This window comes from Homo sapiens, chromosome 9, assembly GCF_000001405.40.
Source record: "Homo sapiens chromosome 9, GRCh38.p14 Primary Assembly".
Classification (NCBI taxonomy): Eukaryota; Metazoa; Chordata; class Mammalia; order Primates; family Hominidae; genus Homo; species Homo sapiens.
Window position 1 is genome coordinate 19,029,425 of NC_000009.12, and position 27,410 is coordinate 19,056,834.

Genomic DNA, 27,410 nt, shown 5'->3' on the forward strand with positions numbered 1-27,410 from the left:
ACTTCTTCATGCATGCTTGTCTTCCAGATTTCCCATTGCTTTTTCCCATGACCTCAGACTGGAAAAGCCAAATATAGACTTCCACAGCTTAGAAAACACCTATAAAATTCCTCGCTCCATCCCAACCGGTCACTGAGCAGATTTAATTGGGGTGGGAGGGATTTAATTGGGGTGGGAGAGATCAAGACTTCCAAATAATGAGACTCAAGATCAGTGTTGTCCAACAGAACTTTCCGCAGTGATGGAAACACTCCCTATCTGCATGTGCCGGTATGGGAGTGACTATACTCGAGTAGCTACTGAGCACTTGACATGTGGCTTGTGCAGCTGAGAAACTGAATTTTTAGTTTTATTTAACTTTCATTTATTTAAATGAAATTGCCACAGCTGGCTACCATACTGGACAGTACATCTCTAAATCTTACATTCCTAACCCAGTCCAGCATGTTATGACCTTGACAAACAAAAAACGCCATCCATTCATTCAAAAAGATATGTGTTAGCTGTTAATAAAGAAAACTGTGTTGCTATGATACAGTGCACACACAAAAATAGAAAATATCTGTTTTCCCAGCGTACATATAATTAATCGAGGATATAAAGCATGCTGATGCATAGAGGATGAGAACACGGAGCGGGGTTTTTCTTTGATGGGGAGCCACAGGGCTGGGTTAACAGGGAACTTGCAAGTGAAACCGGGCCTTACAAGTCCAGCAGGAGGAGGGAACATAGGTATTTTAGAGAAAGGGAAAGGATAAGGATCAGAAAAGGGACATCAGCAGGTCCACTCAGGGGATGCCAAGAAACCTGATCCAATTCAAGGTGTAGTTTCATGTAAGGGAATCATGGGAGAAAAAAAAACTAGGAAGGTAATTTAGGACCAGTTTCCAAACACAAAAATGAGAGAACCAGGGAGGTTGTAACCGGAATAAAAGGGAAGGGACCAATTAAAGAAAGATTACAATGGAGGAGGGACCCAGACTTTAGAAAAGAGTCAATGTGCCAGGCTCGGTGGCTCACGCCTGTAATCCCAACACTTTTGGAGGCCAAGGTAGGTGGATCATTTGAGGTCAGGAGTTTAAGACCAGCTGGCCAACATGGTGAAACCCCATCTCTACTAAAAATGCAAAAATTAGCCCAGCATGGTGGTGGGTACCTGTAATCCCAGCTACTTGGGAGGCTGGGGCAGGAGAATCGTTTGAACCCAGCAGGCGGAGGTTGCAGTGAGCAGAGATCGCGCCACTGCACGACAGAGTAAGACTCCATCTCAAAAAAATAAAAAAAATAAAAAAATAAGAAGAAGAAAAAGATTCAATGTTCTGTTTGAGGGAGAGTAAGAGATGATTCAAAATTTTCACCCAGGGTGAATGGAAGATTGCTGGCACCATGAATGGGGCAGATACCAGAATAATGTTTGAAGGTTGTTGAAGTTGAGATTAATGAGACAGATGGATCACCAAAGCACTTTGAGAAGATGAAAATGAAACTGGAATTCAGAAGACAGGAGAAACTATTGGCTGAAACCATAAAATGGAGGAGAAAATACAGGATGAGGAGAGAAGAAAAGGAGAAGAGACACAAGAACAGACTCTGCTTCCAATGGAAAGTGACTCCTTTGCAGGGACAGAATGAGAACAGAGTCAGAGAAGGAACACCCAAATGAGTCATAACCCTACTGCAGGGGCAGGAGGGAGACTTCTCACTATATATGCTCTGCACCTCTTAATGAGCATTCTGCCTTCCTACCTAGACTGCACGCTGTGCAAAGATGGAGACTATGTCTTATACATTCAATCCCAATGCCTAGAACAATGCAGGAGGACACAGGAGGGTAATGTAAAGCATCCCAGTAGAAAGAAGGCCTTAGTGGCTCATGCCTGTAATCCCAGCACTTTGGGAGGCCGAGGCAGGCGATCACCTGAGATCAGGAGTTCAAAACCAGCCTGGACAACATGGTTGAAACCCTGTCTCTACTAAAAATACAAAAATTAGCCAGGCATGGTGGCATGTGCCTGTAATCCCATCTACTCAGGAGGCTGAGGCAGGAGAATCACTTGAACCCTGAGGCATAGGTTGCAGTGAAGCGAGATGGCACCACTGCACTCCAGCCTGCGCAACAGAGCAAGACACTGCCTCCAAAAAGAAAAAAGAAAGGCGGCCTTAGAAAAAAAGGTTTTGCTTGGTAACATGTAGTCCTAGACTATACACTGCTCTGGCCCCACTTAACAAAGCTCAAAAGCAAGACCCACGTTTGTACATGATCTAGTTCAGTGAGTCCCAGTCCTAGCAAATGGCCAGAATCACCTTTAGACAGTTGACAGGGCCCACTCTGAGAGTATCAATTCAACGGCCTGAGCAACTGATAGTTTTCAAACTCCCTGTGTGATTCTAATCAGCAGCCAGAGTTGGGAACCATTTATTGATGCCAGAGATATAGAAGGTTGCTGATCCAGTTTTTAGAGTGCCCTTTAATTCTCCACACTACTGATACCATTTTTATATGCATGTGTCATATTTGCCCTTTTTTCAGATTTCAGGACACTAACATATTAAGCACAATCCATGTACCAGGACTCACATACATGATCTTAACTCTTACAATAGTCCTATGAGGTACGTATTGTTGGTACAGATGAGGCGACTATGACCTGGAGTTTAGTTACCAATCTAAGATCCCACAATTAATGACAGCCCAGGAAAGGTGACCTCAGAACCCTCTTGCCTGTTGCTCCTCTGCTGCCCACTCCCTGCCCCAGCCAAGCAGAAACCCAGCTGCCCTGGGAAGCAGATAGAAGGAGCCTCTAAGAGATCATGTGAGTGACAGCAGACCAGTCAGCCCGTGGGACTCTGACTAAAGTCCATGATTTCCCCCAGGACCACCTTTACTGCGCTTCCACCCAAAGATGGTCCTTAAAGGTTAGAAGGGAGACCTGGCAGGCCAGGCGACTGTGAAAGTAATGTTTTCATTATCCTTATTCAACTCTACACAATGTGGAACAAGTTTTACTAATACCTTATACTTCTCTGACAAAGTAACAATCTCTCTGAATGAGAAATTCAGTTATACTACAGGAATTCTCCTCCCATCCTATCACTTTCCCAAAAGGAGCAAGACTGGTCCCACTGGGCCAGGTGTTCTCCCTCCTTGGCTGACACTTTCTGGGCTTCAGGGAAGGGAGTGCAGACTGCGCGGTCACGCCCATTTTCAACCCTCCTGCAGTTCTCAAGTGAAGCGGCACAGAAGGCCCGAAAACAGCCACATTCGCCAGAACTGATGTGGCGTCCGCGGGCACAACGCTAGTTGACACAATTGTGGCTTAAAAAACGTAGCAAGTGGACGAACCCACCGTGATGCCGCCTGATGAAGCAGCTGGGGGAGGCTTCCCTTCCTCGGGAGTCTGAAAACCCAGGCTCCCCCAGCCTTGCCCTGGGCGTGGCCACCTTACCCGCAGGAGCACAGTTCACAGATGCACTTCGTCTTCATAGGGGCGATCCTGAGGCCCTGACGTCCCCTCAGAGCATCGCCAGCTGCAGCCGACTCCTAGACCCCAACCACCTGTCTTGGGGCACGCCCAGGCTCGAGGGTCTTGGCAGGTGTTCTGTTTACTCGAAGGAAAATTTAAGTGGCCCTTTTGCAATGTCCTGTCGTCTGTTGCCCTCCTGGAGCTGGCCTAGCGCGAGGTAGCAGCAGGGGGCTTGCACGCGCGCCAGCCCGGGAGACCTCACCCTGCACGCCACCGCCCCGGCCTCCGCAGTCCAGACTTAAGCACCTGGAGCGGCTGACTGGGCCCCAGGAAGCTGCGGGGTCCGTGCCCAGGTAGCCTCTGTGATGTCGCCAGGGCCAGGAGGGGCACGCCTCAGGTGGCAATTACATCACAAGAGCCGCTTGTGAGGTCGGGAAGCTCCCAGCACCTCACTGGCAGGCCCAGGACAGGGGTTCCCCGGTGAACCTTGGAAAAACCTGAAAAAGGTGGAAGTCACTAGAAAGCTCCTGGTGCAGTAAACGGTCACACGTGCAGAAAAGCTGAAAACTCCCTCACCATCACCTTGGGTGGCATTTGCTATCTCTAGGATCCATGGTGCCCCCTCTTAGGGGAATACAGCCTTGACTTCCAAAAGGCTTGCCTTGAACAGGGTTTCCAGATCTTCCTGTGGAAACCTAGGCCTTTGGCTTCAGATGTCTGTTAGAATTGCTCTCACCCACAGACCTGCGCTCTTGAGAACACAGTGGTTTAAGAGCGCCCAGGCCTTCACTGCTCAGGTGGGTTCTCAATCACTTCTCCAGATGCTGGTAATGATGCCTTGAAGCAGGCGTTCTCAAATTCTAGTTGGCATCAGGACCACCTGGCTTGATGAAAACCAGATTGCCAGACCCCACCCCCAGTTTCTGATTCAGTGTTTCTAGGGTAGGCCAAAGACTTGCATTTCTTACAAGCTCTCAGGTAATGCTGGTTCTGCTGGGCCACGGACCACACTTTAAGAACTACAGCTTTTGAGGTTCCTTTACACCCCCTGGAATAGTGTTTCTTCAGCTTACCTGATCCCGAGAGCACACCCCCACCCAGAAGTCTCCCTTGCATCAAAACCTCTAGTCCGGGAATCTAGCTTCAACAAGAAGCCAGGTGATTCTGGTCATGAAGCAAGTTCAAAAGACACTGCTCTGGCCAGTTGTTTGGACTTAAAACATTTTGACTTCCTGCTTATGGGAAATGGGAGCTTAAAGTATTGACAATCTTTATGCTTTTCTTTCCTATGCTTCCTAACTCTTTCCATTCATTTTAGTGAATGAGTCAGTCAGAGGCATCTTGGACTGCAAGACACTTAATATTCAGAGGGTTTCTTTTTGTGTGGGGGGGGTTAGGTTTTTTCCTTCAGTAATAGGCTCTAGAATAGAGGTCAGCAAACTATTGTCTGCAGTTGGCCACTTGACTCTATCTGGCCATTGAGCTAAGAATGGTTTTCATATTTTTTAATGGTTGAAAAAATTAAAATAATAATATTACATGACAAATGAAACTTACCTAAAATTCAAATTTCAGTGTCTGTGAATAAAGTTTTGAATTTTTTCAAAAAATTTGTGTAAACATTCCCGATTTTGCCTCTTGGCCCACAAAAGCTAAAATATTCACTATCTGACATTTTACAGAGAGAGAGTTCCAACCCCAGTTATAGGAAGTCAGCAAGGTAGATTCAGACAGGAGCAAAGCTTATTGATCATTCTTAAGAACAGTGGGGTGGGAAGCTGCTCCTTGCCTTCCCAGTAGGAAGTCAGAACTCTACAGGGGAGGATGGAAACATGGCCAGACAAAAAAGAGGTGGGAGCTATTGGAAGTCAAAGCAAAACCTGCATGCCATCCATTGCCATTGACAGAGAACATCACACAGTCCTTACAGAGGAAATACAGTGCTGGACACCAGCCTTCTCTTGATGGCTGCCTAAACATTATCCATAAATCTTTCAGCAGAAGAATGCCTGTTCATGCCCCCTGCCATTCAAACTGCCCTTGTGGGTGGCCACCTTGTCAACAATCATGGTACTCCCCACTTCCTCCATCCATGCCCTCAATAGAGGGTAGAGATCTTGAAAGATGAAGATGGTGTGGACAAAATAGCCTCAACAATGATATACCTAAAGATCAGTGCTAGACAGTAGGGACAACCTCCCCTCACCTAGTTACACTTACTGTCCATCTTTTGTTACATCCAGCCAAACTTACCCTGACCCATCTGATATGGTTTGGTTCTGTGTCCCCACCCAAATCTAATCTTGAATTGTACTCCCATAATTCCCACATGTTGTGGGAGGGACCCAGTGGGAGATAATTTGAATCATGGGGGCGGTTTCCCCCATACTGCTCTTATGATAGAGAATAAGTCTCATGAGATCTGACGGTTTTATCTTCATTTTTCTCTCTTGCCACCCGCCATGTAGGAAGGGTCTTTCACCTCCCACCATGATTCTGAGACCTCCCCAGCCATGTGGAACTGTAAGTCCAATTAAACTGCTTTATCTTCCCAGTCTCAGATATGTCTTTATCAGCAGCATGAAAATGGACTAATACAGTAAATTGGTACCAGCAGAGTGGGATGCTGCTGAAAAGTTACCCAAAAATGAGGAAGCAACTTTGGAACTGGGTAATAGGCAGAGGTTGGAACAGTTTGGAGGGCTCCGAAGAAGACAGGAAAATGTGAGAAAATTTGGAACTTCCTAGAGACTTGTTGAATGGCTTTGCCCAAAATGCTGATAGCGATATGGACAATAAAGTCCAGGCTGAGGTGGTCTCAGATAGAGATGAGGAACTTGTTGGGAATGGAATCCAAGGTGATTCTTGTTATGTTTTAGCAAAGAGACTGGTGGCATTTTGCCCTGTCCTAGAGATCTATGGAAGTTTGAACTTGAGGGAGATGATTTAGGGTATCTGGCAGACGAAACTTCTAAGCAGCAAAGCATTTAACAGGTGACTTGGGTGCTGTTAAAGGCATTCAGTTTTATAAGGGAAGCAGAGCACAAAAGTTTGGAAAATTTGCATCCTGACAATGCAATAGAAAAGAAAAACCTTCTCAGCAAACTAACACAAGAACAGAAAACCAAACACCACATGTTCTCACTCATAAGTGGGAGCTGAACAATGAGAACACATGGACACAGGGAGGGGAACATCACACACTGGGGCCTGGCGGGGGGTAGGGGGCTGGGGGAGGGAGAGCATTAGGAGAAATACCTAATGTAGATGATGGGTTGATGGGTGCAGCAAACGACCATGGCACATGTATACCCATGTAACAAACCTGCACGTTCTGCACATGTACCCCAGAACTTAAAGTATAATAAAAAAAAAAAAAAAGAAAGAAAGAAAGAAAAAAGAAAAGAAAAACCTGTTTTCTGAGGAGAAATTCAAGCTGGCTGCAGAAATTTGCATAAGTGACAAGTAGCCAAATGTTAATCCCCAAGACAATGGGGAAAATGTCTCCTGGGCATGTCAGAAATCTTCACAGCAGCCCCTCCCATCACAGGCCCGCAGGCCTAGGAGAAAATGGTTTCATGGGCCGGGACCAGGGTCCCCATGCTGTGTCCAGCCTAGGGACTTGGTGCCCTGCATCCCAGCTGCTCCAGCCATGGCTGAAAGGGGCCAACATAGAGCTTGGGCCATGGCTTCAGAGGATGCAAGCCCCAAGCCTTGGCAGCTTCCGCATGGTGTTAAGCCTGTGAGTGCACAGAAGTCAAGAATTGAGGTTTGGGAATCTCCGCCTAGATTTCAGAGGATATATGGAAATGCCTGGATGTCCAAGCAGAAGTTTGCTGCAGGGTTGGAACTCTCATGGAGAACCTCTGCTAGGGCAATGTGAAAGGGAAATGTCCCTACTGGGGCACCACCTAGTGGAGCTGTGAGAAGAGGGCCAGCATCCTCCAGACCCCAAAATGGGAGATCCACCGACAAATTGCACTGTGTGCCTGGTAAAGCCACAGACACTCATTGCCAGCCCATGAAAACATCCAGAAGGGAGGCGGTACCCTGGAAAGCCACAGGGGAGGAGCTGTCCAAGACCATGGGAATTCACCTCTTGCTTCAGCGTGACCTGGATGTGAGACATGGAGTCAAAGGAGATCATTTTGGAGCTTTAAGATTTGACTACCCTGCTGGATTTCAGACTTGCATGGGGACTGTAACCCCTTTGTTTTGCCCAATTTCTCCCATTTGGAATGGCTGTATTTACCCAGTACCTATATCCGCATTTTATCTAGGAAGTAACTAGCTTGCTTTTGATTTTACAGGTTCATAGGTGGAAGGGACTTGCCTTGTCTCAGATGAAATTTTGGACTGTGGACTTTCGGGTTAATGCCGAAATGACTTAAGACTTTGGAGGGACTGTTGGGAAGGCATGTTTTTTGTGAAATGTGAGGACATGAGATTTGGAGGGACCAGGGGTGAAACTATATGGTTTGGCTCTGTGTCCCCACCCATATCTCATCTTAAATTGTACTCCCATAATTCCCACATGTTGTGGGAGGGACCCAGTGGGAGATAATTTGAATCATGACAGCAGATTACCCCATACTGTTCTCATGGTAGTAAGTCTCACAAGTTCTGATGGATTTATCAGGGGTTTCCGCTTTTGCATCCTCCTCATTTTTTTCTCTTGCTGCTGCCATGTAAGAAGTGCCTTTCACCTCCCGCCATGATTCTGAGGCCTCCCCAGCCATGTGGAACTGTAAGTCCAATTAAACCTCTTTTCCTTCCAAGTCTCAGGTATGCCTTTATCAGCAGTATGAAAATTGACTAATACACCATCTAAACTTCCCTAACCCTGGTATCAAAATTTCCTCCCCTAGGAACTGTTTACTGTAACTTGCTATCAAGTTACATCAAACCTTTCTGGGTACTTTTCTATAAGCTCTCTCATCTGTCTCTTACAACTGACATAAATCTATCATGCCCATATTACAAATCAGAACACTGAAGCCAGGAGGTAAACTCATTCAATGAGTACTAGATCTGGGATTCAGATTCAGATGGTCTCAAGCTTTTCCACCCAATGAAAGGACAAAGAATAAGAATAAATGGCTGTGTATCATGAAAAAATGCTCATCATCACTGGTCATCAGAGAAATGCAAATCAAAACCACAATGAGATACCATCTCACACCAGTTAGAATGGCAATCATTAAAAAGTCAGGAAACAACAGGTGCCGGAGAGGATGTGGAGAAACAGGGACACTTTTACACTGTTGGTGGGACTGTAAACTAGTTCAACCATTGTGGAAGGCAGTGTGGCGATTCCTCAGGGATCTAGAACTAGAAATACCATTTGACCCAGCCATCCCATTACTGGGTATATACCCAAAGGACTATAAATCATGCTGCTATAAAGACACATGCACATGTATGTTTATTGCAGCACTATTCACAATACCAAAGACTTGGAACCAACCCAAATGTCCAACAATGATAGACTGGATTAAGAAAATGTGGCACATATACACCATGGAATACTATGCAGCCATAAAAAATGATGAGCTCATGTCCTTTGTAGGGACATGGATGAAATTGGAAATCATCATTCTCAGTAAACTATTGCAAGGACAAAAAACCAAACACCGCATGTTCTCACTCATAGATGGGAATTGAACAATGAGAACACATGGACACAGGAAGGGGAACATCACACTCTGGGGACTGTTGTGGGGTGGGGGGAGGGGGGAGGGATAGCATGAGGGATATACCTAATGCTAAATGACGAGTTAATGGGTGCAGTACACCAGCATGGCACATGTATACATATGTAACTAACCTGCACATTGTGCACATGTACCCTAAAACTTAAAGTATAATAATAAAAAAAAAAGAATAAATGGCTGTGTATGTGCAGCCAGCCCTTGTGAGGGAGCAGGGTGAGGCAAAGCCTTTAAAAAAATTAAAAAAAAAATGGTAACTTGAATATCTTTGAAACCACTATAAACAGTATTTTATCTTAAAATTTTCATTTACTTCTTAATATGGACATCTTTGTTTAATGTTTTCCCTAAAATTTTTTGTAAAATTAATACTCAGTGGTGCTGCACAATTTTTATTCTGTGGCCTTATAACTCACCCAACCCCAAACTTATTGCTGTATACCATCTGAAAAGCAACTCTTTACAGAACATTGTTTAAAGTGGTGAGATCACACCACTGCACTCCAGCCTGGGCAACAGAGCAAGACCCTGCCTCAAAAGAAAAAAAAAAAAGAAAATATTAGCAAACTGAAACCAGCAACATATAAAAAGGATTAAACACCATGACCAAGAGGGATTTATCCCAAGAATACAAGGTGGTTTTAATATTGAAAAACCAACTGTGGTTAAACGTTATTGCTGTTGCGCTGCTTTATTTAATGCGCTGTGGAACAAAATAACGGTATTGTTGGGATGTGATTATAACTCTAGGCTTTTAGCTCTCAAAGTTTGAGGTTAAAAAAATGTTAAAAGATGGGAGTTAAAGTTTATGTGTATGATGTGATTTAGCTATGCAGAAAATATTTAAGTTGGATGTACCTGTTTTATGTACATCTACTGTACTTCGTCCCTCAAAGTTTAGTCCTTAATAGTTTCTCAGTGTTCAGGTTACCTTGAGAAAGGCCATGCTTAGAGAACTGATTTCTCATTTGAGAAATTTTAGTATGGTTTGAAGAAATCAAGTGATAAAGGAGTATGCTGAATATGCAATAATTTACTTCTACCAAGTGCTGCATTTTAAGAACCTAGATGAAACAAGTAGTCGGTTGGCTTCATTATGTTTTATGTCTTTGAAAGAGATGCAGGTCTTGGAATTTGCTTTTTTTTGAGATGAAGTCTCGTTCTTGTCCCCCAGGCTGGAGTGTGATGGGGCCATCTCAGCTCACTGCAACCTCCGCCTCCCAGGTTCAAGCAATTCTCCTGCCTCAGCCTCCCCAGTAGGTGGGATTACAGGCGCCTGCCACCACACCCAGCTAATTTTTGTATTTTTAGTAGAGACAGGGTTTCACCATGTTGGCCAGGCTGGTTCTGAACTCCTCACCTCAGGTGATCTGCCCGCCTCGGCCTCTCAAAGTGCTGGGATTACAGGTGTGAGCCACTGTACATGGCCTGGAATTCACTTTTTAAATGTTATGTTCCAACCTTATATGTTCCAAGGCACGGTGCACTGTGAATCTTTTATTTAAAAAAACTGTAGGTGCTTTTATTTATAATTTGAATGATTTATAAGATGCTAAATGAATTGCTTTTGTACTTAACCATTGTAATCCAAAGGATAAGGGTAGAGTTTACATGCTTTTCAAAAATTTTTGTTAAGAAACAGCAAATGAATGGTTTAGGATTTCAAATACTGATACCCTCCTGACACATGAGCATTTGGGAAAGTCAAGCACCTAATACGACTCATTTAGCATGGGTGAAATTTGATTAAAGATGTTAGAAAATGTTTTTAAAAAGAAAAAGGGCTGAGCACAGTGTCTCTGGGAGGCTGAGGCACATGGATCACTTGAGGCCAGGAGTTCGAGACCAGCCCGGCTGACATTACAAAACCCCGCCTCTACTAAAAATACAAAAAATTAGCCAAGCATAGTGGCACGCACCTGTAATCCTAGCTACCTGGGAGGCTGAGGCATGAGAATCACTTGAACCCAGGAAGCAGAGGTTGCAGTGAGCCAAGATGGCGCCACTGCATTCCAGCCTGGGCAACAGAGTGAGATTCTTTCTCCAAAAAAAGAAGAAAAAAAAAGAGAGAGAGAGAAAGAAAGAGGACATAAAACTATATATTATACAATTCCACTTATATGAAGTTTCTCAAGAAGGTAAACCTATACAGACAGAAAGCAGACCAGCAGTTGCCTGGGTCTCAGGGTAGAAGCAGAGATCAAATACAAACAGGGAGAAGGGAACTTTTGGGGATGGTGGAAATACTCTAAAATTGAGTGGTGGTAACAGAACTATATACTTACGTACAATAAATGAATTTTATAGAATTAAAATTATACCTCAATAAAGCATTAAAAAAATCTTGCAAAAATTCCCTTTCAGAATAAAGGGCATCCAAATTGGAAAAAAAAAAAGTCAAATTATCGTTGTTTGCAGATGATATGTTCTTATATTTGGAAAAACCTAAAGGCTCCACCAAAAAACTATTAGAATTGATCAACAAATACAGTAACATTGCAGGATACAAAACCAACATACGAAAATCAGGAGCACTTCTACCTGCCAACAGTGAACAATCTGAAAAAAAAAAAAAAAAAAGTAATCCCATTTACAATAGACACAAATAAAATTAAATACCTAAGAATTTAGTTAACCATGGAAGTGAAAGAGCTCTACAATGAAAACTATAAAACACTGATGAAAGAAACAGAAGAGGACACAAAAAAGTGGAAAAATATTCCATGTACATGGATTGGAAAAATCAATTTTGTTAAAATGTTCATGCTACCCAAAGCAATCTACAGATTTAATGAAATCCTTATGAAAGTACCAATAACATTCTGCGCAGAAATAGAAAAAACAATCCTAAAATGTATATGGAACCACAAAAGATTGAGAATAGCCAAAGCTATCCTGAGCAAAAAGAACAAAATTGGAGGAATCACATTACCTGACCTCCAGTTATACTACAGAGTTATGGTAACCAAAACAGCATGGTACTAGCATAAAAACAGACACATAGACCAATAGAACAGAAAAGAAAAAGCAGAAACAAATCTATACATCAAAAGTTAACTCATTTCAACACAGGTGCCAAGAACATGCATGGGGTAAAAACAGTCTCTTCAATAAATAGTGCTGGAAAAACTGAATATCCATATGCAGAAGAAGGAAACTAGACCCCTATCTCTTGCCATATACAAAAATAAAGTCAAAATGGATTGAAGACTTAAATCTAAGACCTCAAACCATGAAACTATTACAAGAAAACATTGGAAAACTCTCCAGAACATTGGTCTGGACAAAAACTTCTTGAGTAATACCCCACAAGCACAGGCAACCAAAGCAAAAATGGACACATGGGATCATATCAAGTTAAAAAGCTTCTACACAGCAATAGAAACAATCAACAAATCAAAGAGACAACCCACCGAATGGGAGATAATATTTGCAAACTACCCATCTGATAAAAAATTAATCAGAATATATAAGGAGCTCAAACAACTCTATGGGAAAAAAATCTAATAATCTAATTTTTTAATGGGCAAAAGATCTGAATAGACATTTCTCAAAAGACAACATACAAATGGCAAACAGGCATATAAAAAAGTGCTCAAAATCATGGATCATCAGAGAAATGCAAATCAAAATGACAATGAGATATCATGTCACCCCAGTTAAAATGGCTTTTATCCAAATGATGGGCAATAACAAATGCTGGCAAGGATGTGGGGAAAAGGGAACCGCTGTACACTGTTGGTGGAAATGTAAATTATTACAACCACTATGGGGAACAGTTTAGAAGTTCCTTAAAAAGCTAAAAATGGTACTATCATACGATTCAGCAATCCCACTGCTGGGTATATACCCAAAAGAAAGGGAATCAGTATATCAAAGAGATAGCTGCACTCCTATGTTTGTTGCAGCACTGTTCACAATAGCCAAGATTTGGAAGCAATCTAAGTGTCTATTAACAGATAAATAGATATAGAAAATGTGGGCCAGGTGCAGTGGCTCACACCTGTAATCCCAGCACTTTGGGAGGCCAAGGCAGGCGGATCACCAGAGGTTGGGAATTCAAAACCAGCCCGACCAACATGGAGAAACCCCGTCCCTACTAAGAATACAAAATTAGCCAGGCATGGTGGTGCATGCCTGTAATCCCCGCTACTCGGGAGGCTGAGGCAGGAGAATCGCTTGAACCGGGGAGGCGGAGGTTGTGTTGAGCTGAGATTACACCACTGTACTCCAGACTGGGCAACAAGAGCAAAACTCTGCCTCATAAAGAGAAAGAAAGAAAGAAAATGTGGCCAGGTGCAGTGGTTGATGCCTATAATACCCGCACTTTGTGAGGCCAAGGCGGGAGGATCACTTGAGCCCGGGAGTTTGAGACCACGCTGGGAAATATAGCAAAACCCTGTCTCTACAAAAAATACAAAAATTAGTCAGGCATGGTGGTACACACCTGTAGTCCCAGCTACTCAGGAGGCTGAGGTGGGAGGATCACTTGAGCCTGAGAGGCAGAGGTTGCAGTGAACCAAGACTGCACCACTACACTCCAGCCTGAGCAACAGAGCAAAACCCTGTCCCCCCAAAAAAGAAAATGTGGTACATATACACTATTCAGCCACAAAAAAAAAGAATGAGATCCTGTCATTTGCAACAACATGGATGGAACTGGAGATCATTATGTTAAGTGAAATAAGCCAGGCACAGAAAGACAAACTCTGCATGTTCTCACTTATTTGTGGGAGCTGAAAATTAAAACAATTGAACTCACAGACACAGAGAGCAGAAGAATGGTTACCAGAGGCTGGGAAGGATAACAGGGGGGTTAAGCGGGAGGTGGAGATGGTTAATAGGTACAAAAAGTAGTTAGAAAGAAGGAGTAAGACCTAGTAGGGGCCAGGCATGGTGGCTCACACCTGTAATTGGAGCACTTTGGGAGGCCAAGGCGGGCAGATCACTTGAGCCCGGGAATTCAAGAGCAATCTGGGCAACATAGTGGGATCCTGTCTCTACAAAAAATACAAAAATTAGCCAGGCATGGTAGTGCGTAACTGTAGTCCCAGCTACTCGGGGGCACTGATGTGGGAGGATTGCTTGAGCCCAGGAGGTGGAAGCTGCGGTGAGCAGTGATCACAACACTGCACTCCAGCTTGGGCCACAGAGTAAGACCCTGTCTCGAAAAAAAAAAAGACCTAGTATTTGATAGCACAACAGGATAATTATAGTCAATAATTTCATTGTACATTCAAAAATAACTAAAAGAGTATAATTGAGCCTGGCACAGTGACTCACGCCTATAATCCCAGCACTTTGGGAGGCTGAGGCAGGCGGATCACCTGAGATCGGGAGTTCGAGACCAGTCTGGCCAACATGGTGAAACCCTGTCTCTACTAAAAATACAAAAATTAGCCAGGTTTTGTGGCAGGTGCCTGTAATACCAGCTACTTGGGAGGCTGAGGCAGGAGAATCACTTGAACCCAGGAGGTAGAGGCTGCAGTGTGTCATGCCACTGCACTCCAGCCTGGGCAATGGAGTGAGACTCTGTCTTAAAAAAAAAAAACAATTGGATTGTTTGCAACACAAAGGATAAATGCTTGAGGGGATGCATACCCCATTTACCATGATGTGATTATTATGCCTTGCATGCCTGTATCAAAGTATCTCATGTACCTCATAAATATATACACCTACTATGTACCCACAAAAATTAAAAACAAAAAAAACTTTTCAATTCTCTTTGGGTATTACTTACTATCAAATTATCATTATTCCATTTGAGCATTTTAGATTAAGATCTCTCCTATTTCCAAGAAAGCTGGCAGATTGAACACACGCATTTATCTTTCTCCAGAATCCCACAAACATGAGACAAATAGGATGAGATGGCAAGAACAAAAAATGGGGTAAGAGATCATAAAATCAAAATTTTTGGAAGCGGGAATGCACAAACAAGAATGGTAAGTGACTTAGCTGACTCAAGAAAGCTGAATCCGGCGGGCGCGGTAGCTCACGCCTGTAATCCCAGTACTTTGGGAGGCTGAGGCGGCAGATCACAAGGTCAGAAGATCGAGACCATCCTGGCTAACACGGTGAAACCCCGTCTCTACTAAAAATACAAAAAAATTAGCTGGGTGTGGTGGCGGGCGCCTGTAGTCCCAGCTACTTGGGAGGCTGAGGCAGGAGAATGGCGTGAACCCGGGAGGCGGAGCTTGCAGTGAGCCGAGATGGCGCCACTGCACTCCAGCCCGGGTGAGAGTGCGAGACTCCGTTTCAAAAAAAAACGAAAGCTGAATCCTTAGCCAGTAGTAGGGAAAGCCAAGGAGCAACATTTTTACCACAGAACCTCCAAATGGTTCAAGAATCGGTAGCATCAGTGAGAGCAGAGACTGCACTAAAAAGGAGGGATTGTTTGAAGAGCTCTTTAAGATGCAATTAGACGGCCGGGCGCGGTGGCTCACGCCTGTAATCCCAGCACTTTGGGAGGCCGAGGCGGGTGGATCATGAGGTCAGGAGATCGAGACCATCCTGGCTAACAAGGTGAAACCCCGTCTCTACTAAAAATACAAAAAATTAGCCGGGCGCGGTGGCGGGCGCCTGTAGTCCCAGCTACTCGGGAGGCTGAGGCAGGAGAATGGCGTGAACCTGGGAAGCGGAGCTTGCAGTGAGCCGAGATTGCGCCACTGCAGTCCGCAGTCCGGCCTGGGCGACAGAGCGAGACTCCGTCTCAAAAAAAAAAAAAAAAAAAAAAAAAAAAAAAAGATGCAATTAGACTTACAGATCCCCTCACAATTTCACATAGCTGGGCAATTGTCCGTCTCTCATCTAAGACTAGCAGTTTTTATTCCCTGCAAAGATGCAAAGAGTAAAACAGGGGGTCTCTGGACTAGGGAAACACCAGAGACACAGAGGACTGAAGTACCATATTGTAAACAGGATTAAGCTGGCCTATAAACTGAATATTAGCAACCTAGCTTTCTTCTCCCACTTAGTAACCAGAATGCTATTAATCAGGCTTATACACACCCCATCCCAGTAGAAGAATCCTGGGAGAATCTAACCAGCCAAAGAGCACAGGTCTAAATGAGGCAGGCGGCAAGACTTTCTTCAAAGAAATGGCCCAGTCATTTTAATGAACCTGATAGTCTTCAATGCTACCCACGGGTTTTTAAATAACTTTAAATAGGAGCAGACAACCAATGATCACTGAACAAATAAGGAAAGTTTCTAACATGAATATGCTCTATGATTTCCATAAACTACAGCAAAGGCCATTTTTGAACTTCTTTTACTGCCGGGCGCGGTGGCTCACCAACATGGAGAAACCCCGTATCTACTAAAAATACAAAAGTAGCCGGGCCTGGGGGCGCATGCCTGTAATCCCAGCTGCTGGAGAAGGCTGAGGCAGGAGAATCACTTGAACCTGGGAGGCGGAGGTTGCGGTGAGCAGAGATTGCGCCGTTGCGCCTGGGCAACAAGAATGAAACTCCGTCTCAAAAAAAAAAAAAAAAAAAAAGGAGAACATAAGGAGAACATACAAACAAAAGAAACTTGGAAGAAACCAAGACTAAACGGGATAAAAACTTTTTCTTAATGTTACTATTATCCTCAGAGAGATAAAAGAATATATTTAATCCAAGAAAATAATTTTATGTTTTTAAAAAGAACAATTAGAACAGCCTGTGGAAATTAAAAATATGATATTAAAATTTAAAACTCCAAAGAGTTGGAAAATTAGGATGAGAAAAATCTCCTGGAAAGTAGAACAAAAAGACAGAAATAGAAAATAAGAAAGGGTTACCAAAAAAATATTTAAAAATTAGGCAGGCCAGGTGCGGTGGCTCACGCCTGTAATCCCAGCACTTTGGGAGGCCGAGGCGGGCAGATCACCTGAGGTCGGCAGTTCGAGACCAGCCTGACCAACATGGAGAAAGGAGAAACCCCATCTCTACTAAAAATACAAAATTAGCCAGACAAGGTGGCACATGCCTGCAATCCCAGCTACTTGGGAGGCTGAGGCAGAAGGATCGCTTGAACCCGGCAGGCAGAGGTTGTGGTGAGCTGAGATCATGCCATTGCACTCCAGCCTGGGCAACAAGAGCAAAACTTCGTCTCAGAAAAAAAAAAAAAAAATTAAGCATAGTGGCACACACCTATAATCCTAGCTACTTGGGAGGCTGGCATGTGAGGATCCCTTGAGCCGAGGAGGTGGTGGCTGCAGTGAGCTATGATCTCACCACTGCACTCCAGCCTGGTTGACAGAGAAAGATCCTGTCTCTAAAAATAAATTTAAAAAATTTTTTTAAAAAGAAAAGAAGGCCAGGCGCAGTGGCGCATGCCTGTAACCCCAGCACTTTGGGAAGCTGAGGCGGGCAGATCACTTAAGACCAGCAGTTTGAGACCAGCCTGGCCAACATGGTGAAACCCCCTCTCTACTAAAAATACAAAAATTAGCCAGGTATGGTGGCAGGCATCTGTAATACCAGCTACTCGGGAGGCTGAGCCGGGAGAATGGCTTGAATCTGGGAGGCGGAGGTTGCAGTAAGCCGAGATAGTGCCACTGCACTCCGGCCTAGGCTGCTGAGCAAGACTCCATCTCAAAACAAAAACAAAAACAAAAATAAAACTTAGCCAGGCATGGTGGTGGAGGCCTGTAGTCCCAGCTACTTGGGAGGCTGAAGCAAGAGAATCTCTTGAACCCAGGAGGTGGAGGTTGCAGTGAGCCAAGATCGTGCAACTACACTCTAGCATGGGCAACAGAGTGAGACTCTGTCTCCAAAAAAAAGAAAAAAAATACATTAGAGGAGACTCCGTAAAATGTGATATCCAGACCTTAGGAGTATTCACATGACAGAATAGAGGAAATACATCATCAAACAATTCAAGAACATTGTTTAGAATTCAAGGGCATGGTTTCCAAATTAAAAGACACATTGGAGAGTCCAGTACAATGCAAATTTGGGCTCAACAATGCCAATTATCATTAAGTTTCAGAACACTAGAATAAGAAAATTTCGAATATGTTTTTAGAGAGGAAAGAATAGATCAAAACCAAGAAGCAGGCATCAGACTACTGGCTGCTAAAAGACGATGGAGCAACAGAGCAATGCCTCCAAGACTCTGAGGAAAAATTATGTCCAACCAATCAAGTGTGAGGGTAAAAACAAAGAAATTTTCAGACATCCAATCTCTTGAAATTTTTACTCTCCTCATACTTTTTATCTGGAAACTATTGGAACATGTGTTCCACCAAATGAGCCAAAAATGAGAAGATGTGAAATCAGGAAAAAGAATACCCAACTCGAAAGAACGGGGAAGGGAAACCCCAGAATGGTGGTGAAAGGCGATCAGATAAGAAGGCTCCAGAAGAGGTAGCACCAAGGAGATGAAACTGAATACATTGAGAGGAGATTTTCCACATACTATATTGTATTATGGAATTTCACTCTATGATTTCCATAAACTACAGCAAAGGCCATTTTTGAACTTCTTTTACTGCACACGTTAACAGTAGGAATTAAAATATTTTTTGAATAAATGAAAGAATGGAATACCTGAATTTGTACAGTACAGTATACACTTTGATAAGGGCTTTAGGCCAGGCACGGTGGCTCACGCCTGTAATCCCACACTTTAGGAGGCCGAGGCAGGTGGCTGGCTTGAGTTCCAGACCAGCCTGGCCAACATAGTGAAACCCCGTCTCCACTAAAAATACAAAAATTAGCCGGGCGTGGTGGCAGGTGCCCACAATCCCAGCTATTTGGGGGACTGAGGCAGGAGAATCGCTTGAACTCAGGAGGCGTAGGTTGCAGTGAGCTGAGATCGCGCCACTGCACTCCAGCCTGGGCAACAGAGTGAGACTCCGTCTCAAAAGAAAAAAAAAGGACTTTAAGGTAGATACAGAGGCTTCAGTATCCTGATGACTCTCATTCATTCTGTATGAACGATACTGGCGACACTGATTCACTCATCTACTTGAAGACCAAGAGCAGAATCATATTATGCTTTGAGAGGGGCACAGGGTAGCCTATTGTTAGGCAAATAGACCGCAGCAAGATTGTCTAAAACCAAATTCCATTTCATCATTTAGTATCTGTGTAACTTGGTCAAGTGACTTAACCTCTCTAACCTTTGATTCCCTAACTTGAAAATAGGGTTATTAATTCACAGGGTTACTGTGAGGATGGAACTAATGCCTGGGATTCCACATTATCATTTCCTCGAGCTTTGGAATTCTAATTATAAATTCTAAAGTCTGAGATTACGGAAAAGCAGATGTGAGAAAGGAATTAAAAGCACCCACTGGAAGCCAGGATGTCTCCTAGGAGGGACTTGCTATTACCTAGCTGCGCAGCAACAGGCAATCGCTTGCCTACAAGTCTCACTTTCCGCGCCTGCACAGTCTCCATCTGCCCTGCCCTTGTACTCACTGGGCCGGGCAAGCTGGGGAGGCCTAAGCGGACTGGGAAGTTAGGCTTTCCCTCCACTTCACCAGTCGGCTGCCCCTGCGGAAACCGGCCCGACACACCTCGCTCCTAAAGCCAGTTGCGGTGGTGGTGGCGGTTGGGGCTTTTTTTGGCCACGAGAGGGCAGCATTTCCCCCGGCCAACCACACACGTACCCCTAGCAACAGCAAACCCAGCTGCAACAGAACAAAAGACCGAAGTCCTCGAGCTTCCCTTCCATCTTAGGGCTCACGCCGCCCCGGTTAGGTTTCATTAGAGCAGCGGCTTTTCAAGGCTCGTCGGGCACGGAGGGCGGAGCGAGGGAGCTCTCGCGAGATCGCCGCCGGAAGTGGGTGGTGGCGGGGACGCAGCGGCTCCCTCCCGGAAAGCGAGCGTATCTCCCGAGCCGTTGCCACTGACAGCCGCGGGCGCTCCCATCTGAGTAAGAGCCAGCCCGTCCGCGGCCTCTCCAGCCCCGGGTTCGCGCTCTCGACTCTCCTGCCTGCCCAGCTGCGCGGCGGAGCGGAGCGAGGCGCGGCCTGCGAGTCCCCGGCAGCCCCCGACCCCTCCCTCGGCGCTGCGTGTAGGCCGCGCCCTCAGGCCCAGTCCGCGGTGCCCCGGCGGGTGATGCCAAATACAGCCATGAAGAAAAAGGTGCTGCTGATGGGGAAGAGCGGGTCGGGGAAGACCAGCATGAGGTCGATAATCTTCGCCAATTACATTGCTCGCGACACCCGGCGCCTGGGGGCCACCATTGACGTGGAACACTCCCACGTCCGATTCCTAGGGAACCTGGTGCTGAACCTGTGGGACTGTGGCGGTCAGGACACCTTCATGGAAAATTACTTCACCAGCCAGCGAGACAATATCTTCCGTAACGTGGAAGTTTTGATTTACGTGTTTGACGTGGAGAGCCGCGAACTGGAAAAGGACATGCATTATTACCAGTCGTGTCTGGAGGCCATCCTCCAGAACTCTCCTGACGCCAAAATCTTCTGCCTGGTGCACAAAATGGATCTGGTTCAGGAGGATCAGCGTGACCTGATTTTTAAAGAGCGAGAGGAAGACCTGAGGCGTCTGTCTCGCCCGCTGGAGTGTGCTTGTTTTCGAACGTCCATCTGGGATGAGACGCTCTACAAAGCCTGGTCCAGCATCGTCTACCAGCTGATTCCCAACGTTCAGCAGCTGGAGATGAACCTCAGGAATTTTGCCCAAATCATTGAGGCCGATGAAGTTCTGCTGTTCGAAAGAGCTACATTCTTGGTTATTTCCCACTACCAGTGCAAAGAGCAGCGCGACGTCCACCGGTTTGAGAAGATCAGCAACATCATCAAACAGTTCAAGCTGAGCTGCAGTAAATTGGCCGCTTCCTTCCAGAGCATGGAAGTTAGGAATTCCAACTTCGCTGCTTTCATCGACATCTTCACCTCAAATACGTACGTGATGGTGGTCATGTCAGATCCGTCGATCCCTTCTGCGGCCACTCTGATCAACATTCGCAATGCCCGGAAACACTTTGAGAAGCTGGAGAGAGTGGATGGCCCCAAGCACAGTCTCCTTATGCGTTGAATATTGCCAAATGCTCTTTCTGAAAATGCTGAATTGCCTTTTTTGTTTGCATCCTTTATTTTTAATATTCATAATGTCGTGTGCTTAAAAGTGGGCTTTGAAGTGTGTGCTGCTTACTCCTTTCATCTTTCTCCCCGCTTCCCCAGTCTTTAAACATTGGACGCTATTTACTCAGCTACCCAGTAGAGCTTGAAGCTGACCTTTCTGAGAAGTTGGTATGGTGTAACACTAAAGTAGGTGGTTCGTGTGTGTTCTCATTACCTGGTTATGATAGATATGCACATCAAAGCCTTTACCAGTATCTTCCTGTATTCCGTATCAGATTGCAAAGACGGAATGTTACTATTTTATCAGCAAGGTATTAAAATGCATTTATAAATTCTTCTTGGCTTCATTCATGAATAAACGTGTTAGCAATTTAAAACATGTCCTTATTTGAAATAACTTGAAAGTGCTTAATATGCAAATCTAAAAATTCTGACTGCCCACAAGTATTGCTTGACTGGCAAATTTGATTCTGTGAATTTAGCCCCCAGCACTTTAGTGATGTTTGGTAACAGCTGTAGAAGCGCTTATGCTATGGACTGAAGCTAGACCACCTGAGTTAGTATTCTGGTCCCTTCACTTACTAGCTCTGTGAACATGGGCAAATACTTAATTTCATTACACTTGTTTCCTCATTGGTAAAATGTGGGTCAGAATACTACTTTATAGCCAGTCGTGGTGGCTCACACCTGTAATTCCAGCACTTTGGAAGGCTGAAGTGGGAGGATCACCTGAGATCAGGAGTTCGAGACCAGCCTGGGCAATATAGAGAGACCCTCTCTCTACAAAAAAAAATTTTTTTTCATTAGCTAGGCGTAGTGGTGCGTGCCTACAGTCCTAGCTGCTTGGGAGGCTGAGGAGAGAGGATTGCTTGAGTCCAGGAGGTAGAGGCTGCAGTGAGGCATAATTGTGTCACTGGCCTCCAGTTTGGGTGACAAAGCAAGACCCTATCTCAAAAACAACAATAAAAAACCACTTGATAGGATGTTTAAAAGGATTAAATTCAACATGGTAAGTATTTAGGAATGGTGCCTAGCGCATAGCATACTCTGTTAACTACCATTACTACCTACTGAGCCATTCTTCCCCAAATTACTGGATATGAAACCTATTTGAATATTTGATCCCTTACTAAATGTCAGGTGTTCTTAAGCACTTGTGCATTTATCTTACTGAATCCTCACAACCTATGTGGTAGGTTACTTTGATCGCTATTTTAGCAGATGAGCAAACTATGATCTTATTAAGGTCATACAGCTAAACCCAGGCAATCTGACTACTGACTCTCCTAATCATTACACCCCATTACTTCCATTGAAAAGTTAACCATAAGAGTCATAGCTTTTTATTTATTTTTGGTTTGTTTGTTTGAGACGGAGTCTCGCTCTGTTGCCCAGGCTTGAGTGCAATTGCGCGATCTCACTGCAACCTCCGCCTCCCAGGTTCAAGCCATTCTCCTGCCTCAGCCTCCCAAGTAGCTGGGACTACAGGCATGTGCCACCACGCCCAGCTCATTTTTGGTATTTTTTAGTAGAGACGGGGTTTCACCACTTTGGCCAGGCTGGTCTGGAACTCCCGACCTCAAGTGATCCACCCATCTCAGCCTCCCAAAGTGCTGGATTACAGCCATAAGCCACTGCACCCGGCAATTTTTTTTGTTCTTATAACTTGCACATATCAGCACTGATGGGTCCTAGCTTTTTAAATGTAGATTATTCCTTCATATAATTCCAAATTTACATAGTGGGTAAGCTGAAGCCCAGGAAGCTAAGTGACCTCCCTCAAGGAATAGAGTTTCACTCATTTTGGGCAAGATCACTTTCCCATTTGTATTTCTCTAGAAATTGGATAATACTGAAACAGATTCTTAGATCACCTACTTTTAAGGAAGGATTCTGAGGTTCCTAATTTGGATTGGCAATGTGGTGTAGTAAAATGGACAAACAGATCTAAAATGTCCCATTCCACTTCCAGCAATAGCTGCCTTAAGGATTGTTTGAAAAGAAATCTAAGTATTTTAGAGCGAAGAGACCTGTGATCAACTCTAAGCCTTTCATTTTACACTCGAGGTGCTATCTTTGTATGGACAGTAAACATAAGTGATAGGGCTTTAGAATTTCTAAGGCTTTATAAAATTATTTAATGTTCATTAAACCCTTTCTAGCAGCAGATGTGGATGACGCTACTCATGAAGAGTAAGAAGCTATTCAGGTGTAATTTATAAAAATTACCTAATTAGGGCCATTGGCAATACATTAGTATAAAGACTCCAGATGTGTAAACTGACAGTATAGATATAACCTTAAAAATTCATTTTAAAATACTATATACTGTAAATCTAGTAATTAAAATGGAAGTAACAAAATATGTTGACCTGAATCACTGAACCTCTCAAATTTGTTGATCAGGTTATTAATATAACTTTACATGTGATCATCTTATGATTTGCAGGGGCATAGTTCTTTTTGAGATTATATAGGAAATTCCAGAGCCAGATAGTATAAAATATTTATTGAAAACAACAGTATTTAAAACATTTACAGAGAGTCCCATAGAGGATTCTCAAATATTTTAAACTTAGGATGCAGACTGCTATTCACAATGCATAAAGAAAAAGGTGATCTCTAGAGCAACTATGTATCTGCAACATAAAAGAAACATTTACTTCAATGCTTTTACATTGAGGAAAACGTCATTAAACGTATTTTAATTTTAGTACTCTCACAGTAGGAAGATAATAGTCTGCTTTTACACAGGTCTCCAGAATTCCTGTTTTTCCTTTAGATAAATTTGACTTCATAGTCAAGAGTCTCATGGTAAAGAAAAGGTATCAAAATACTCATATTTTTGTTTTCAGCTCAATTTCCCCCAAATGTTAACTTCAGCTATTCTTTATTCCACTTGATGACATTTTTCATGTTTAGCAACATTACATGGTTGTCCTCTTTAAACATTTAAAATAATTAGAACATTTTAGCATTATCTCAGGTTTCAAGCTGATGTATGTCAGTTTATATACCTTTGTATCTTACAAATAGTAAAACAAAGTACATTCTATATGTCTGATATTAATGTAATAAGAAATCCACTTAGAGTAATAAATTAGCCCTCTTTACCATTTATTCCATGATATAGGAGGCAAACAAAACAATTCCAAAACTTAAATATTGATAAAGATGACACATGGCCTTGGGGTATATGTATGTGTGTGAATACATACTCCCAACACACATTTACATAGGTGTATATGTATTTATGCATGTATGTGTATATTGCTATAACTAGAAAGACCACATGCAACCATAAAAAATATATAATAAAATCAATTCGTGGGATATTAAATGAATAAAAAGATAAACCATAGGAGATTTCAGAGAAGGAGTAGGCACATGGATATAAAAAGCGTGGATTAAGACTTCAAGACGGAAGTGAGATTTTTTTCTGAGGCTTAAAAGAGAGCTGTAATTGTGGTAAACTAGTAGAGGAAAGCAAGGTATTCCTGCTTCAGGAAAATTGTATATCAAGACCTCTAAAGACCCATGCTCACTGAAGCATTTCAGTAAAAAAATGGGAGATTACAGCGGAAGGGGGAGTAGAGGAAATCCGTTACAGGGGAACTTACATGCCTTTAAATTTGAACTCTATTTTAGAATTAACAATGAACAATCAATGGAATTTTAGGCAAGGAAGTGACCCAATCAAAACAGTTCCTTAAGATCAAAAGGTAACTATGTAGGAGATACTGGATAGGGAAAAGGCTGAAGGCAAAAAGCTGCCATCACATTGGTTTAGGAGAAGAAAGTGACAGATCTGAGATACTTTTTGTTTATGGTACTGGCATATGAAGAACAGGAAAGAATGCCAAAAACTTTCAGCCCATCACAGGTATAACTCAACAATGTGATTTTTACAAATCCAAAATGTCTACAGACATTCTGCTCTTTTGATTCTCAGTAATTAAGGGTTTCTCAGACTTGGGTGGCCAACTTGAGCTTCCCTATCAGATAGTTACCAATCTCTACCCAAGTATATATGCAACAACGTACCTGCTTCTTAAAAGTACCACAGGGTTAAATGTGAATCTCTATTTCCTAGCAGCAGTTCTCAAACTCTTTCTCGAGCTTAAGAATTACCAAGGAAGCACATTTAAAATATAATTAAATGAAATAATACACATTAAGTGTCTAGCAGTGGCTTTGGCACTTCTGCAGATGCTGATAAGACAGTATCACATGCTAAGTTAAGATTTTCAGATACTGAGTTTTCTTAAAGCAGACTAAAGGTTTCCCCATAGACCTGCATAGTCCCTGATTTGTTTTATTAACTAATAAAAGAAAACAGCAACTTAGGAGAAGATTTTTTCTTTCTCCTTTTCCATTGCAAAGAAGGTAGTTACATGTGCTTTCTTTTGTCTTTTCTCACAAAAAGATGGGTCTTCACACTGGGACAGGACAACCAACTTAGAGAAAGGCAGCCCAAGATAAAAGAAATAACTATTAAGCCATCTACTTCCATAAATTTCCCCTCCACCTTCTTTCCTTGCCAGTTTTTTGGGGGCTAGTGGACAAGATTTTGATGGTAGTGAGATGGGGTCTACAAAGGGTATTGTAGGTACTATCACCCTTCCATTGCCTGTTCCATTCCTCCTGGTTCACAGAGGGCAATAGTATGTGTTCACTTGGATGCTAGACACAAGTCTTTTTCTAGGCAGGGCACCTGAAGGAGTGAGGCAGGAGACTGCAAGTGTGACAAGTTATTTAACCCCAAGTTCAGTTTTCTCAAGTTACTGTGAGGCTATTCTGTAGGGACTGGGGGATTCTGATGGTTGTTCCTTGTTCCTTTCCCCCAACAGGGAGTACCTCACAAAAAAACCCAACAACAAAACAGACTAATGAAAATTTTAATTTATATTTTTGTTAAAATATAAAAGTAGCATTAAATTATCAAAGTCTAAATTAGACTAAATATAAATGTTATACAACCCACTGAATGGATTTATAGTTTGACAGTGTTCCTTGCAAGTGTCTACTCATCTTCCATCTTTTTCCTTTTTTTAAATCATTCTGCCCCAGTCTTCACTTAATCATCACATGCACTTTATTCCATCAAACATCACTTCTCAGGATCATTCTACCTGAAGAATCATTAAGCCTGTTTAGAGCTTTTCCAGTCTTAAAATTTGTCATCTTGACTACACATCCCAAGGTACTACTTTTCTCACTTTTTCTGGTTAGCCAGAATGTTCCATTAAGAAACAATAAAAGTTGTATAGTTCTCTAAGATGAAAGATTAGTATATTCAATGGCTATTATATTAACCATTTAGTGAACATACAACAAAAACTATCCTTATATTAATTGACTGAAGTTATAACATAAGAAATAAGTTACACTACTACTTTGTCATTCACTTAATGCTTACAAGATTACTCAAGAAATCAAAATGGCTTCCCATTGCTTGACGTTTGTTGTCCAAATACTTCACATTTCAATCTCATATACCTACAAAGAGGAAAAAATCCAAACATACTTTCCTTACCTAAAAATATTAAAGAAGGCTAAAAGGCATTAGGAATTTTTTTAAACCTTGAAAAACAGTGTTACACTTCCAACATGTATTTAAGTTGTAATTCATTTTCTATCCTGTGGCATAGCTTCAATTTAAGTGCATCATAGTTATATTAAATGGGTACGTCTTCATCTTGTCAAGTCAGACGGTGGTTCTTTTGCATCAAGGCTCTTATTCAAAATGTCTTCTTCTGCAAATTGATTTTAAAAAAGTATAAGCAAACATTACAAAGAAAAATAAACAATAGATTCCAAGCAATAGCAAATTTTAGTCAATACAAAAAAGGTTCATAGCTTTGCAAATACTTGATTATGATAAAATTATTATTATTCTCACCAAAGTACCCTCTTTCTCCAGAGATCAATACATTCCTCCCAGAGTACTTTTTTTTTTTTCTTTTTTCTGCGACAGGGTCTTGCTCTGTCACCCAGGCTGGAGTGCAGTGGCACGATCGCAGCTCACTTCAGCCTCAAACTCCCAGGCCCAAGCAATCCTCCCACCTCAGCCTCCTGTGTACCTGGGATCACAGGCATGCGCCAACGTGCCCAGCTAATTGTTTAATTTTTTGTAGAGACATAGTCTCCCTGTGTTGCTGAGGCTAGTCTCGAACTCCTGGGTTC

At 43.0% G+C, this 27,410-nt stretch overlaps 3 protein-coding genes across 14 annotated transcripts in view, besides 4 other annotated features; 1 reads left to right on the plus strand and 2 right to left on the minus strand.

Annotated features, from left to right (window-relative positions):
* SAXO1 (stabilizer of axonemal microtubules 1) overlaps positions 1–19,915 on the minus strand; it is a 121,690-nt gene extending 101,775 nt beyond the window's left edge. For 5 of the 9 annotated variants that reach the window (NM_001287050.2, NM_153707.4, XM_011517744.2 and 2 more), the window contains exon 1: positions 3,447–3,785. In NM_001287050.2, coding sequence (NP_001273979.1) covers positions 3,447–3,484 — 38 coding nt within the window. In that variant the 5' untranslated portion in view covers positions 3,485–3,785. Of the gene's footprint in view, positions 1–3,446; positions 3,786–19,505; positions 19,601–19,784 lie in introns of those variants that run through there. The other 4 variants (NM_001287049.2, XM_024447428.2, XM_011517745.3 and 1 more) reach the window with 2 other exon arrangements.
* Positions 3,107–3,660: an enhancer, noted in NCBI's record as "H3K27ac-H3K4me1 hESC enhancer chr9:19032529-19033082 (GRCh37/hg19 assembly coordinates)". NCBI's record gives its function as "activates a minimal SCP1, AML or CMV promoter by ChIP-STARR-seq in primed H9 embryonic stem cells {active_cell/tissue: H9 hESC(primed)}" and the evidence as "EXISTENCE:reporter gene assay evidence [ECO:0000049][PMID:30033119]".
* Positions 3,661–4,214: an enhancer, noted in NCBI's record as "H3K27ac-H3K4me1 hESC enhancer chr9:19033083-19033636 (GRCh37/hg19 assembly coordinates)". NCBI's record gives its function as "activates a minimal SCP1, AML or CMV promoter by ChIP-STARR-seq in primed H9 embryonic stem cells {active_cell/tissue: H9 hESC(primed)}" and the evidence as "EXISTENCE:reporter gene assay evidence [ECO:0000049][PMID:30033119]".
* Positions 19,943–20,464: an enhancer, noted in NCBI's record as "H3K27ac hESC enhancer chr9:19049365-19049886 (GRCh37/hg19 assembly coordinates)". NCBI's record gives its function as "activates a minimal SCP1, AML or CMV promoter by ChIP-STARR-seq in primed H9 embryonic stem cells {active_cell/tissue: H9 hESC(primed)}" and the evidence as "EXISTENCE:reporter gene assay evidence [ECO:0000049][PMID:30033119]".
* On the plus strand, positions 20,003–21,601 carry RRAGA (Ras related GTP binding A). Its single transcript, NM_006570.5, has one exon. The coding sequence runs from the start codon at positions 20,236–20,238 to the stop codon at positions 21,175–21,177; it is 942 nt and encodes a 313-aa protein (NP_006561.1). The 5' UTR covers positions 20,003–20,235; the 3' UTR covers positions 21,178–21,601.
* Positions 20,072–20,261: a silencer, noted in NCBI's record as "silent region_19789". NCBI's record gives its function as "represses an Ori minimal core promoter by ATAC-STARR-seq in GM12878 lymphoblastoid cells {active_cell/tissue: GM12878}" and the evidence as "EXISTENCE:reporter gene assay evidence [ECO:0000049][PMID:35858748]".
* Positions 21,602–23,716: 2,115 nt separating the features above from the next.
* The window catches only part of HAUS6 (HAUS augmin like complex subunit 6), a 49,764-nt gene continuing 46,070 nt past the window's right edge, over positions 23,717–27,410 (minus strand). For all 4 annotated transcript variants that reach the window (NM_001270890.2, NM_017645.5, XM_047423518.1 and 1 more), the window contains one exon: positions 23,717–26,980. In NM_001270890.2, the coding sequence (NP_001257819.1) occupies positions 26,919–26,980 (62 nt within the window). In that variant the 3' untranslated portion in view covers positions 23,717–26,918. The remainder of the gene's footprint in view (positions 26,981–27,410) is intronic.